This window comes from Homo sapiens, chromosome 13 (assembly GCF_000001405.40).
Source record: "Homo sapiens chromosome 13, GRCh38.p14 Primary Assembly".
In the NCBI taxonomy this organism is placed as follows: Eukaryota; Metazoa; Chordata; class Mammalia; order Primates; family Hominidae; genus Homo; species Homo sapiens.
In genome coordinates this window covers 111,607,786-111,623,162 of record NC_000013.11, presented here as the reverse complement: position 1 = coordinate 111,623,162, position 15,377 = coordinate 111,607,786, and the positions used below count along the sequence as shown (strand labels likewise).

The 15,377-nt window shown below is 44.8% G+C and overlaps 1 long non-coding RNA gene across 1 annotated transcript in view, besides 3 other annotated features; it reads right to left on the bottom strand.

Annotated features, from left to right (window-relative positions):
• The window catches only part of LINC02337 (long intergenic non-protein coding RNA 2337), a 46,071-nt gene that overhangs the window by 18,917 nt on the left and 11,777 nt on the right, over positions 1 to 15,377 (bottom strand). The gene's annotated exons all lie outside the window — the stretch shown is intronic.
• Positions 519 to 1,043: an enhancer, noted in NCBI's record as "H3K27ac-H3K4me1 hESC enhancer chr13:112274467-112274991 (GRCh37/hg19 assembly coordinates)". NCBI's record gives its function as "activates a minimal SCP1, AML or CMV promoter by ChIP-STARR-seq in naive H9 embryonic stem cells {active_cell/tissue: H9 hESC(naive)}" and the evidence as "EXISTENCE:reporter gene assay evidence [ECO:0000049][PMID:30033119]".
• Positions 1,044 to 1,569: an enhancer, noted in NCBI's record as "H3K27ac-H3K4me1 hESC enhancer chr13:112273941-112274466 (GRCh37/hg19 assembly coordinates)". NCBI's record gives its function as "activates a minimal SCP1, AML or CMV promoter by ChIP-STARR-seq in naive H9 embryonic stem cells {active_cell/tissue: H9 hESC(naive)}" and the evidence as "EXISTENCE:reporter gene assay evidence [ECO:0000049][PMID:30033119]".
• Positions 6,422 to 7,443: an enhancer, noted in NCBI's record as "VISTA enhancer hs1246". NCBI's record gives its function as "enhancer in: dorsal root ganglion[4/12]" and the evidence as "EXISTENCE:transgenic organism evidence [ECO:0001131][PMID:17130149]".

Below are 15,377 nucleotides of genomic sequence, written 5' to 3'. Positions count from 1 at the left end.
CTTCTCCATGAATCGAAATGGCCTTGGCGTTAATACACATCAACATGTTTTCTCAATGATGCCCAAAAAGTCAAGACAGCAACAAATGTTTCGCAGGGAAGAAAAGGAACTTGTGTGGCTCCCGAGGCCCTGCGAGCTCAGCTGTAGTGCAGGGCCAGGAACTGCGTTGGTTTCCTTTTTTTTTTTTTTTTTTTTTTTTTTGAGACGGTGTCTCGCTCTGTCGCCCAGGCTGGAGTGCAGTGGCGCAATCTCGGTTCACTGCAAGCTCCACCTCCCGGGTTCATGCCATTCTCCTGCCTCAGCCTCCCGAGTAGCTGGGACTACAGGCGCCCGCCACCGCGCCTGGCTAATTTTCTGTATTTTTAGTAGAGACGGGGTTTCACCGTGTTAGCCAGGATGGTCTCGATCTCCTGACCTCGTGATCCGCCCATCTCGGCCTCCCAAAGTGCTGGGATTACAGGCTTGAGCCACCGCGCCCGGCCTGTGTTGGTTTCTTGTAAGACACGTTGCATGATGTGTGAATTTAAGGAGGATGGAGGTCAAGTGTTTAAAATTTCAGTCCCAGGTGGAAGCAAGCAAAACATGCCAGGAATTCAGCAGCTTGGCTGTGGCCTGAGAACAGGTGAAGGCTGGGCTGCAGAACCGGGAGAACCTGGGAGGCACAGCGGCCTCCTCTCGCCGGTGCTCCTCACTGAGCCAAACTGGTGCGAGGCCCACACTGGTGAGGGGTGGATGGCAGCGCCCGGGCAGCACCCAGGAGGCCGGGCCCCAAGGGACCGTTTCTGTCTGATTGACAGGGACCTTCTGGGCAGCAGCACCTGATGCCTGGGCTACCGAGTGGGGATCGAGGCCCATGTGGCTTGGGGCAGAGGCTCCCAGTCCGCATTCGCCCCGCAGGTCCCAGGGGCTGGGACCACCTCAGGAGCCATATGAGACATGCCAGGGGCTTCTGCCTGAGCTTCCAGCAAGGGCCATGGCCGCGAATGAGGAAGAATGGAAGGCGCCCTGGCCGGGAGGGAGGCCACCTTGGGAGCCCCCAGAGCCGCCTGCATATGCGGGCTGGGTGCTGTCCCCTGTGCGGCCCCAAGACCCAGTTTCCTGATGGATGAGGCGCCGGACCTCAGAGGGCAACGTGGACAGTCGGATGCGGCCTAGGGACGAGGGGGACACGTGGGGCTGATGGAGACATGGGCAGAGGGCACCAGAGGGAGAGCTGGGACTGTGTGCTCCACACACCACAGAGAGATGCACACACACCACACGCACACCACGGACACACACACACCACAGACATACACCACACACACCACATAGACGCGCACACACCACACACACACCACACAGACACACACCCCACACACACACACACCACGAATAAACACACACCACACACACACCACGGACACACACACCACACACCATACATACACCACACACACACCACACAGATACACGCACCACACACACACACCACAGACACCAAAGACACACCACACATACCAGACACACACACACCACACACACAACAGACACACCACACACACACAGACACACACACCACACCAATACACACACCACAGACACACACCACACACACACGCCCGCCCACACCCCATGTACATATACCACACACACACACCACAGAGACACACACCACACAGACACACACACACCACACATACCACAGACACCTACCACACACACAAGCCCCACACACACGCCCCACACCCCACATACATATACCATACAGACACACACCACACAGACACTCACCACACAGACACACACACTACAGGCACCCACCACACACACCACACACACACCACAGACACACACCCCCACACCACAGACACACGCACCACACGCATACCACACACACACCACACACACAGACACCCACATACTACAGACACCCACCACACACACCAGACATACCACACAAACCACAGACACACACCATACACATCACAAACCATATGCACACACGCACACCACACACACACAACACACACTACACACACCAGACACAAAAACACACCACAGATACACATACCACAGACACACGCACACACCACACACCAGACACACACCACACACACCACAGACACATGCCCACACACATCACACACACATCAGATACACATATCACAGACAGATGCACACACACAGCCTCCCCTAGACACACCTCCAACCTCCCACAAGAGACACATATGCCCCACAAACACGTAAACACACACTCACCATACACCTACAGACACACACACCTCAGACACACACACACATCCTGGTTCCCCACTGGCACGCACAGATGTCCTCTCACACATTCACACAGGTATGGGTGTCCCCATGAGCTCACACTGGGCCAGTGTCAAAGCTCCTCCGTGGGCTGACCTGCAGCCAGGCATTCCCACAGCCCCCCAGGAGAGGGCCCTGCCGCCGGGGCCCTTCACAGCCCCACGGAGGACAGGGATGCAGGCAGAAGCCAGCCTGGCCATTCCAGACGTTGGTCTCACCATGTTCTAACCCACCACATTATTAGACGCCATGACACGTGATATGCCACCTCCACAGACACACACCACATCACTCTGCCACTTCATGGAAGTTAGAGCTCTCGCCTTTCTGAGCCGTCTGCCTCCTCCCGTGATAAGTCAGTTTTCTGTGATCAGAGAGTGTGCACATTCTTGCCTCTATGTGAAATCCCACAGCCAGTGAAAAAACCACCATATCTCCCATTAAGTGTGGGGCTAACATTTCCTTTCTGCTGCATTCAAAATACACCCACGGCTTCCATCATGATGTCCTTTCTGTTTGTTCATCCTGGTGTAAAGAATTGCTTCTCCAGGCCTGGTGCTTGTCAGTACCCATCAGTATCAGTAGTCCATCAGCAGCATCCCCCTGCAGGAGAACCTCCCTTCAGATTGGAATCCTGCAGTTGGTTCAACGTGCACCACGCTAAGCCCACCACCAGCTCCCAGAGGGCTCTCATTTAATATGTCTCTGCAGGGACACCTTGCAACACAGGAGAAAGGGAATAATCATCTAAGATTCAGTGGAAAACTGTACCCTTGGAAATTATCTACTAAAGGAGGTGAAAAGCACTTTTAGAGAGTTTTACTTGACACTTCTCAACAGGAAAGAGCGTCATAGGGAAAGCAACAGGAGCAGGGTTAAAATATGCACTGAAGGCAGCAAAAAGCAGAGTGGACCGGGTAGAAAATGGAATCAATGCTGCTGGGGAGAGACAGAAGACTTTCTCCCAGAGAGCCAAGGGAAGGTCGAAGCAAGTGCAGTTGAAAATGATAACACGGAAAATGAAAATCAAACCGCTAAACATTATCATCAGAATGTTAGTTCTCCAAATTAATCCAATCCAATCCACATCCAAATCCCAAAGGAAATTTTACAGACTTTGACTAGCTAATTTCAAGATTCATCTAGGAAAGAAAATCTACAGGAAAAACCAATAATTAGCAGTGTAAAATATCAAAGAATATTTGATAACTGTAGTGCTCAAAACATTGTGGTGTTGGCTCAGAAACATAAAAATTCAATAAATGGAACAAGAGGAAGAGCCTAGAAGTAGGAAATGCATGTATGCATCTTGGTGTATACGGTAGAGGTGACATTTTTATATCAAGGAAAAATTTGTCAATTCAACAAGTGGTTTTGAACTACTCCTTTCAAAAATATTAAATATTCTACACAAAAATAAATTTCAGATGTGATAAACACAAAATACTATAAAAGTACTAAAAGATATCACAGAACACTTTTTAAAAAATTAACCCTTTGCCCATTTAGAAAAATAAAGTGCAGCTCACTGCTGGCGCTCATTTACTTTTACATAAACACGCTCTTTGAGGCTGAAGCAAATCTGACTGATTTTCAAGGTAAAAGTAAAATATAAAAACTGTTCTTGGAGTTATTTCTAAACAGAGCTAACATCAGAATCGTCTGAATCATCAGAATTGTCAGTTTCGGAAAAATCAGACTCATCAAATGAATCTTCGGCCAACAACTGTTTGAGAATGATGTTCGTATCACATGTGAGAATGCCACGTTTTCTAGGATTTGACATTTTCAGCGATTTTGTAAATGGAAAGTATCGTTACTAAAAACAGAATGCTATAAATAGAATGTCTTTTGTTTCCAAAGTTGATATATTACAGTGATGCAAAAATAACAAAAGCGAGGTATTTCATGACAAAGTTATCTCGGGGTAAACACTGCAGCCGCAAGTGCCACTGCTGCGTCCTCTCCAAGCAAACGGAAAAGGGGTAATCATGAAATGGGGATAAAAAAGGCCTTCTGTGTCTCTAGACAAAAAGGCAGAGCGGGTTGAGGACAAGCAGCCCAGGACACAGCCCCTTGGCCTTTGAGGAAACAGCAGAAGCAGGAAAGCTCCTCTCACCTCTCTCCACCCTGCTCCGCTGAAGCTGGTCCTGAGACCCTCGTGGGAGAGGTGTGCTCCCTATGCCCAGAGGAAAGGAACATTTTTATCTCTAAAGACAAGGACACAGAGAAGATTCAGAACACACAGGCCCTGCTAAGCCTCCCTGTTCCCTGGTTTATTACTGCTAGGCTATCCACCTCATTGTCCAATCATACGTCCCCATTTCTAAAGGTTCCTGTGGCATGTTAAACTGACATTAAATAGATATGTCTGCTCTTCTCCTGTTAATCTGCCTTTTGTTACAGGGGCCTCAGCCATGAACCTAGCAATGGGTAAGGAAAATTAAATTTTTCCTCCCCTACGACTCTCATCAATGTCTATGTAATGATGTCAAAGGCAAAATGAGAGACAAATGGAAGACTAGGAAAAAATAACTTCAACATAACAGAAATAACTTCAAAATAACAGAGAACGGTTCACTCTCGAGACATAAAGATCATGTTATTATATACACTCTATAATCCAGTAGAAAAATGGGAAAAATTTGTAAGTAGAGAATTAAAAGGAAAAGGAAGATTAATATGTCATCAATGTGAACGTCTGTCCAATCTCACTAATAATCCATGAAATACATTATTTTCCCCATAAGTTCAGTAAGACATTTTTCAATGATAACACTCAATGTTTCTGTGCATATGGTGAAGGGCTATGTTCTGTGGGAATGAAGTGAATGGCAAACAGACATTGTGAGGGTCCCACGTATCCATACGTACACACTCTACAACAGTCTCTCTACCTCAGGAATGATGCGGCCTATCAGGGCCTTCCAATAATTACACGTACAAATTAGCAATTAACATTGGTTACCCCTCTAGTCAGAGGTCTCACAATTTCATGGTTTTTTTAATGCTATATATTCATGAAGCACCAGAGGAAAAAAAGCCAAATCTCAAATCAAAATTTTCCTCTTCCAGGAAGACTTTCCTGGTTCACTCTTTGTGCTGTACCTTCTCTCTCCAACTGCTACTCCTGCTGGATTTTCTCCATTTCTATGGCATGAGATGAACCTTGGTTGTTCTTTTTATCTGTGTAAGATTTTTCAGTCCCTTGACCCTTGTCTAGATTCTCTGAGAGCAGGGCTAGTGCTGACTGGCTTGTAATGCTGTGCTGACCACATGCACATTTTGTATATGCCTTGCAGATAAAAACAGAAATGACTTTTATGTATCCTTAGACTTTGATCAGCTTTCAGATAAACTTAGGAGGGCACTTTCTTTCTCTACCAGTTAGATTAAAGACATCACTCTAGGGAGTAAACACGGGAACGCCAAGTGGAAGAATCTTGTGAAGCTGGAAGAAAGAAGGATGTTTAAGTCCTAGAAACCAGACTCCTCCGCTTAGCAGCAGGTGCCCTCCAGCAAATTACACCCCCTGAACCTCACTTTTGTTATCCATAAAATGGAAACAGGACAACCTTTCTCCCTGAGCTAGGACTGGAAAACGTGACAGTCACACAATGCCTGACACAGTACCTGGCCCATAGTATATGCTCAATTAATATGAATTCCCTCCTAGTATACACTCAATTAATGTGAATTCCCTCCTAGTATACATTCAAAGGCCAGGGACAAAAGGGCCTCATTGTCTTTTCAAACTCCTGTCACTCTTTGTTCAACATAAATTTGTATGTACATTAATACAGAGGCAGGGGCCAGGGGCAGAAAATGGAGATCAGGGGAAAAAAACCAAAAAACCTTTGCAAAATGATTTGAATTTTATTCCTACAGTTTTTGCTTTGACCACAAATGTTTCCACATAAAGATATATAACAAATTCTCTTGTGAAACAAAAGATTTAGAAAAATAGAACATAAAACCTGGAAATGTAAACAACTTTTACATGCTCGGAAACTTCCTCAGGGTACAACTTCTCACTTTTCTTGAAAAGATGTATAAATAGAAACATCACTCCTGAATTAATTATTCTTTCCAGGGAAGAAATTGGCTGGTTTTCAAGATTGGTCTTTCCCAGTGATTCACCAGATGATGTGTAATTGTACTATACGATTTGATGGCTTTTTTTTTTTAACATATCAAAACATGTAACATTGTAAAGTTAACTATCTTTGTTTCCTGTGATTAAGCCAAGAAGTAGTGATTGCAGATGAAGCTCAGGATAGGAAGGAGGTCGGTTCGGGAGAGATCGGCCACCGACTGCGTTCCCTGCATTAAGTTATGGACATCGAGATGATAAATGCTTCTCGGCTGTTGTTTTAGTGCCTTCCTTTGGTAAACCCCATTTGATTGGCATGAACAGTATTAGGTAAAACAGACTGAAGCTGCAGTGCCAATATTTTCGTGACTATTTTGCAATCGGCGTTAATCAATGAGATGGGACTGTAATTGCTGCAATTTCCCATGTCTCTTCCTGGCTCCAGAATCACAGATATAATAGCGCTCCTAAGAGTTTCTGACAATCTGCTATTCACAAATGCTGTATTAAATATACCACATGAAACTGTATCCCAGCACTCCATCTTTTTTTCAAACCCCTCCTGGAATGCTGAAGTCCTGGGGTGGCAGGGCCCCAGGAGGAAGCCGTCTCTCCACAGTCCTCCCCAAGCTCCCCGGTGGAACGTCTCCTTGAAAGCCATGTTGGGATTTTGGCCTCATGGCCTCATCACATTTCATGAATTCAACTTCGTTTTGGAAATTTTTCAATCACTTTGGTGACATTGACAATTTTCCATTTCATTATAATGCTACAAAATTCAAGCACCTGCTTTGCTTTTCAAAATGTAAATCTACTGAAAAATCAGAGAAAAAGCAGGTGTTCTACCTTAATTGACAGAATTGAATCTCCTATCAGAAAACAAGCCTCCAAATCAAAACAGAGACTCCAAAGTACCCGCCGAGGCTGGGGGAATGTGGCTCAAGCCCGTCGCTGAAGTCAGTTTGGGGCACCATAGAGATGCCTTCCCGGATGGGTTTTAAGCCTAAGGAACAACAGGGTGTTAGATCAGAAATGAAACAGAAGCGACTCCTCCACACCTAAAAGAAGAATTCAGTGAAACATGGACACCAGTGACTCACAGGCTGCCCCTTCAGGGTATTTGCGTCTGAGATGCGGGGCTGTCAGTGGCCTTCAAGCACACTGAGCTTGGAATCAGGTGCAGAAATTCTATTCCATGGAGAAAAATGCTTCCTGGAAAACTTAATTGTGCTTTTAAGTTTTTTCACCCCTTAAATTCACAGAAGACTCTGTACGACTTTAAGAACATTTTTCCCATCCTAATTCCCTGGCAATCTCCTCTTGCAAATGTCAGTGTTATTCAGCCTGATTAACTCCAGCAATTTCATCTTTCAGTGATGTTCTGCTCTCAAACTGCCAAACAAAGATTCTTCTATTTCATTATTCAAAATATTAAGTGAAGCTCAAAAGCCACAATGATAGACTTTGGGGTAAAGAAATATTGCTCTGTCTGTCAAAAAAGCTGCAAGTTATTTCATTACATAAAATAGTACTTAGGGCATCTAAACCATCAATTCTCAAAGAACAGAAAGGGTATGGCTAAATCAAATCCCAATCATCCATTTTCATCAAATGCATGCTTCATCACCCATCAACCATTTTACCAGAACTTAAAAAAATAATGTAATTAACTACTCTAATTTTATTTCTCCAGCTGCTGTTCTTATTTGGGTAAAGTTGCTAACGAATAAACTTGGTGAAAATACTGACAAGTCAGAAAGGAATGGAAATCGATGTGCAATTCACAACTGTATAATTTCTACCTGAATAATTTAAAGTGTAACTTTTTCCCACACAAAGCATTTGTATTCCTAGCCTTGTCAGAGCAGAATATTGTCATGTTTGTTAAGGACAAGTAAGGAGTCAGAAAATGCTGCAACATGGCTGGTACCACGCAGGAGCTGAACTCAGAGTTTATTCACCCTGAGCTGGTAAATATTTAACTTCTGTGTTTCAGTTTCAACTGGGAGAAAAAGGTGATATCATACTCACCTTGACAGTTTATGGTAAATATCAGGACGTCGCCCAAGGGATGTACATTATGTGTTGGGGACTCAGGAAGGACACATCCCCGCTTCCTACCCAAACCATAGCTGTGACAAATGTATATGTATTGAAAATTGTCCCTACCAAAAATGGGCTTTGCAAGTGTCAATTTAAAATTAAGGTCAGTAAACCTAAACCTATATATGCCAACATCCCAAATTCCATAATAACAGCTGCTGACGCTCTGTCTACAAGAGGCAGTGGCAGGGCACCTCCAGGGTGTCACCATGCCCTGGGCTTACCCCCTTTAGAAACAGGAAATCACCACCCCTCATCTGACAAGCAGAACTACCAAGAGACTTTGAGGCTGGACCCCTAATAAAGAAATCATTTGTCAATGCTTATGTAATTTGCACCAAGCAGATTGTGTAATTTCCAGTCCTACAGTATCTCATCCCGGTGCCGTTGACAACACCTGATCGACGGTCCTTGCAAAGCTGGCACGTGCCCTAGGGGGCATTTAAAAATGAGCTGGTCTGCTTTGGACTGTCCCAACAGCTGGGCTCACTCTGGCACTTGGCCATAGGGACCCAGGATATTAAATGTCCCTCAGTGTCTGCAGAGTCACATGAGCAAGACCTGCCCTTATTCTTGCGTGACTTCCAAATAGTCTATGAGACGTTCATGTAAGTGCAGATCTAGGCAGAATTCTTAATTTCAATGTGCACCAAATTTTTCATAAAATCAAACTACCAGGAGAGGTAAGGGGAAATTGCATTTGGCTTTGATCGAAACCGACAGTGGATTGCTTACCGTCTCAGGAAAATCAGCAGCAATTCTGTGTGGTGTTTGGGTCCACAGGGAGGTGCACCTCCATGGGTCCCCTAGATCCTCACAGGGAACTGACTCAAAGCCTGGTGTTGCACTGACCTCTCATTCCAACCACACCTTCTGCAGAGCCACGCCAAGCATTTATATGGGAAAATACATATTATTCTGTGCTAAATTACCTTCCTTTTATTTCTCTTTTATAATAGAGTTAGGGCATTATGTTGCTGTTGTTGTTGTTTTGAAATTCTATGTGCAGGTTTATTATTTAAATTTATTTTTAATTGAAAAATAAAAATTGTATGTATTTATCATGTACAACATGCAGTTTTGAAGTACATATAGATTGTGGAATGGCTAAATTGAGCTAATTAGCATGTGCATGCCCTCACATACTCGTCTTTTTTATGATAAAAACGGCATAGATAAAATCTATTCTCTTAGCAATTTTCAAGAAAACAATATGTTGTTATTTACTACGCAATAGACCTCTTAAGCTTGTTCTTTCTTTTTAACTGAAATTTTGTATTCTTTGATCAACCTCTCCCCATGCCTCCCCTCACAATAACCCATATAATAACACACATAGGTCAATGCTATGATCATCCCCATTTTACAAATGTGAAAAGGGAGACGCAGTTAAGCTTTGGTTCCCAGAAATGCAGCTTCATCTGGGACTGGGGAAGGTTCAGTTTTGGCCATGCAGGAAAAGCAGGGCTTAGCACAGTGACGGCCCCCACGTGGGCTAAGGCAGTGGTGCCACGGAGCCACGCGTTGCTCACTGTGTGTCCTGTGGCTGGTGGTACAGCCGCTCTCTGGCTTTAGTTTTCCCACCTATAAATAGGAATGGAGACAGCTACGCAGCAAACATAAACTGAGTAGAGCAAGCCGCACACAGGCGCCGCCACCCTGTGCTTTTCTCTATTGACTGAGCTAAGCCTCACAAGCACCCTGGGAGGTAGGCAGTATGAAGTTCCTGATTTTACAAATATGGAAACTGAGAGGGAGAGAAGTAAATGAGTCCATGGGGTAGCTGTGCAGATGACCTTGTAAAACGCATGAAGCAGTGCTTAGTGCAGGGCTGGCTCGCCCATTACAATGCATCTTATCCTAGCTTTGACGGCATCACTGCCTCCCGTTCTGAGCCCTGGCTTACCCTGTTCCACACAGGCCGGACGTATCACTTCATTTTCAAAACTGAATTTTTCACCTGGGATTTTGGAATTGCCTTGTTTACCTCTCAGGGCAGGGTAAGGATCCACTCACTGAAAGCCCACAGCAATGTGCCTGGCACCCGCCAGAAACTCGATGAGCTGGAATCACAGTGACTGCTGTAGCTTCCATGGCCGTGCTCGTCTTGGAGCAGGTGCTAACCCCCAGCATTGGCCAAGCAGAAATATGCAAACCCCACGGCTTGCTTTCCAGCCTTCAAGACAGCCCGGGGAGGAAAGAGGCCAGCACTCTGCATTCTGATGTTGGCTAAAACAAGCCTCGATTTTCAACGATACCCATTGTTTACTAAGTGCCTCCTATGTGCAGTGTCAGGAGAGGCTTGGAAAACAAATGACATTATTAATATTTGTCTTTATGCAAAAAAATCACTATTAGAAAAAACAGCAGCATAGACTGAACATGTTTTGACTTGAGAATGTGAGGGCACACCGGGCAAGTTCATCACGTTTCTTTTCTTGCTATGATTTACTATGAGCCCTAATTTACGTCATCGTTCAGAGAGAATCCCTATTTTACACAATCATATGAGTGCCCCTGCTCCCATGGCCCTGCTAAAAAACCCATCCAGGCACACCCCAGCAAGGATGAACAACTGCACGTTAACTCTGCTGTGGAAGGACTGTTGCTGTTTTCTATTGGAACTAAAAAGAGGAAGGTGCAGAAACAGTGTCCTGTGAATTCCGTCCAGAATTCACTTTGCTTCCTTGAGGGCGATGATGATTCAATCCATGGATTAAAGACGGCTAGGCTGCTTTTGAGAATCATTTTTAGCTCATTCTGTATATCATTGTATTTCCCAGTCTGGCACCGTGAACCATAAATAATCCTATCATTTATTAATTACATTTTCTAACCTAGTCAAGAAGAACCCTGCAGTGTGGAGCAGAGAATCATGAACGAATGGTTCGTTGAAAAGCAACTCTTATTGCCAAGTAGTTGTAAATTAGGATGTGATAATTACCCACTTTAACCTTTTTAAACAGGTTCCTCTAAAAAGCTCCAAGATGGATGTTTTATTATAGCAACTTTGACCTCCAACACACAACAACACAATTAGTTTTGCACCCTGACAAAGGGATGCTTTGATTAAAATCTGGTATACCACATTATTATAAGGTATTATCTGCATAGGTATTGAATGTGGGTGGATACACACGCACACATTATACATACACAATATTCACATATTACGTCCCACATCTATTTGAAGTATAGATCTAGCTAAGTCAAAAATAATGAATAAGTGAGGACTGTAATTACATGAAAAGCAGCCAGCTCCATCATCATAAACCATTATGAGCGGTGCTCCTGTGGAGTGTGCTGTCCCCTGCATCCTAACCCCACTGAACACCTCAGCTAATGTCACACAAAATGCAGAGACATTGCAAGGCAATGGGATCTGCTCAGCCCATGCATCACAACCAGGACCCAACACTGCCTTCCAGAGGCCCAGAGGCCCATGGTCCAGTGTAGACAGGACCACAGACACAGCCCTCCGGAAGCCCAAAGTCCCATCATCCAGTGTAGACAGGATTGAAGTCACAGCCTTCCAGAGGCCCAGAGTCCCAACATCCAGTGTAGACAGGACTGCAGTCACCGCCTTCCGGAGGCCCAGAGTCCCATCGTCCAGTGTAGACAGGACCACAGTCCTGAGACCCCATGGCACTCAATCTCGATGCTTTTGTGAATCCTCCCTCTGCCTTCGCCAGGTTGCCTGGTCCTTGACAAGGTGTTATGCTCACTTCCAAGCCCAGGGCAGGAGAGCTAGAGCCTCCATGCCTTCAGCAGCCTTGGTTCCCCAACCATACTCCCCGCACCACACTCTGCCTCAGCATCTGCCTACATCGTGCTTAAAAAACCCTCCCCCAAGGCCTACTATTTATTTTATGAAACAATGAAACCAAAGCAGAACATGCTAAAGCCCTGTGGAATAGGAGTGAGAGGGAATCAGAGTCTATGGAGGGCCCCAGGAGGAGAGGCTTCCAGGGAAGGAGGACTGAGATGAGAACCCATGGGAGCTGAGGGCCACCCTGAGCTCTTCCAGGAGCAGTACCTGGCTTCAGGGTAGGTCCCGCTCAGCCAGCCCCAGAGCCACTTGAGACCTCCGGTCTGCTCTGCTCTTACTAAGAGGGGATGACTGGGTGTGTTTTGTTTTGTTTGTTTGTTTTTAGGAAGTCAAAGGGGGGCTTGAGTTTCATAGCTGGGTCAATTTGCGATGGAATAAAGGCTGAATGATAGGTGTATTCACCTGTTTTCACATTGCTATGAAGAACTACCTGAGACTGGGCAATTTATAATGAAAAGAGGTTTAATTGACTCACAGTTCCACAGCCTGTACAGGAAGTATGACTGAGAGGCCTCAGGAAATTTACAATCATGGTAGAAGGTGAAGGGGAAGCAGCTGCATCTTACATGGCCAGAGCAGGAGGAAGAGAGCAAAGGGGGAGGTGCCACACACTTGTAAACAAGCAGATCTCCGGAGAACTCACTCACTAGTACAGGAGAACCTGCACTAGTCCCGCACAGGAGAACCTGCACTAGTCCCGCACAGGAGAACCTGCACTAGTCCTGTACAGGCTGATACAGTCTACTATCACAAGAATAGCAAGGAGGAAATCTGCCCTCATGAGCCAGTCAGCTCCCACCAAGCCCCTCCTCCAACATTGGGGATTACAATTCCAGTTGAGATTTGGGTGAGGACGCTGAGCCAAACCATATCAATAGGGAAAAAAATCCAAAAACTGAACAAATGTAGTAGGAGCATGAGTTGAAAACCAGACATGATACAAGAAAGTAAGCACCCAGGGGAGCCCCAGCTTTCACTGGGCACAGAGGGCAGCAGGCTGAGAAAAATCGCACCTAGCTCTCTGGGGGCTTGAAAGAGGTACTATCACCCTAACATAGGAAAGTGCCCTCCTGACACCTCACCCACGAACAAACCTGGGTCAGGAGAAACCGAGGCTGGCCCTTGCATGCGAACGCTGGGGCTGAGGCAGCTGGAGTCCCGCAAGTGCAGGAAGAGCACACGCACACAGGGCCAACCGAGGCACCCCCCAGACTTCGCTGTTCGGGAAAGCAACTTGGTAAAGTGTTAGGAGCCTTGAACGTGCTCATATCTCCTGTCACAGCAGCTTCACTTCTGAAGATCCACTCTTAGAAAATAATCCTTGATTCAAAGAGGTTCGCTGTAAGATGATTATAGTACCACAAACCACGTTAAGCGACTGAGTGCCCAGTCATAAAGCTGGGATAAGGGAATTCCACTGCAACGACATCCAGAAAGTTCTCCAGTCACTGAAACATGGTTGACCGAGAGCTTTAGTGACATGGGAAGACGTCTCCTGGAATGCGCTCATTCCATAACGCTCTAAGAAGAAACCAGGACACCAAAGTGAGGATCTCAGCACTGCAGAGTGACAATCACAGAAAGAGAAACAGACCTTTACTCTAGCTGTATGCTGCAGCTGTGTCCGCCATCACTGAGGAGTGCTCCTGCCAAGCTATACTTCATTTGTAACATAACCAGAATTACATTTAATATAAGAAAATAAGTTTTATTTTAAAAAGGGATCATGTACGTTTACAAGTGAAAGACCCAGAATCAGCCGTTGTATACATTTTTACCCTTCATCTTTTGAAGTTAGCAAAGGGCACAGTTGTTAGGCATATTTATTAACGGGACCATTCACAAGACTTCTAGCAGCAACATCTATGCAGATAATACCTTATAATAATGTGATATGCCAGATTTTAATCAAAGCATTGCCTTGTGAGGGTGCAAAACTAATTGTGTTGTTGTGTGTTGGAGGCCAAAGTTGCTGTAATAAAACATGTGTGGTGGCACAGCTATGAGGCGCACCGAGCTGACTGCTCTGCAGTCTCTATATGACTGTGGGTGTGCTTCTATGCATGTTTGTGTATATGCATACTTCCGTATGTTTATCTCTGCTAATGTTTATCTCTGTATATATACATTGTATATATATGTTAATATATGTATGTGTATATGTTTATGTGCGTGCATTCCAGATTCTTCCCTCAGCTTCCAGCTACATAATTTCAGAAACTAAGCTTTCCATCTAAATTTGTGATTTCATTGCCTGGGTAATTGATATGGTTTGGATTTGTGTCGCCACTCAAATCTCATCTCGAATTATAATCCCAATGTTAGAGGAGGGACCTGGTGAGAGGTGATTGGATCATGGACGTAGGTTTCCTCTTCCTGTTCTGGTGATAGTGAGTTCTCACGAGATCTGGTTGTTTCACAGTGTGTAGCACTTCCCCCTTCACTCTCTTCCTCCTGCTCTGGCCATGTGGAATATGCACCTGCCTCCCCTTTGCCTTCTGCCATGATTGTAAGTTTTCTGAGGCCTCCCCAGCCATGCTTCCTGTTCATCTATGGAACTATGAGTCAATTAAACCTCTTTTCTTTAAAAATTACCCAGTTTCAGGTAGTTCTTTACAACAATATGAGAACAGACTAGTAGAGTAATGGTATTTACTACTGAATGAATGGGAATTTAAAAAAACACAAAAAGTTAAAACCTAAATAGTTGAGCTAGTCCTGTACAGGTTGATACAGTCTACTCGATGTTTTCAATTTTGAAATAATTTTTATACCTACCACTTAAAAATGCATTACTGAGGATTTGGAATTTTATTCTGTTGATATTTTGATATGATGGTCAAATTAACTAACATGTAAGGAATTCTTCGTCTCCATGTCTAGAAGCAGGGCACTGAAGGGAATGCCTTCTGGTGTAAAAATCCACTGGAACTTTGATTAAACTTTTTTCAATATTATTACTTTTGACCTAATTGAAGCATAGAATCTCCCGTCTAAAGGAACATTTTGAGAAAGTTTAAAAACAACAAAATAGAAGAATTTGCAATGGAATAAATG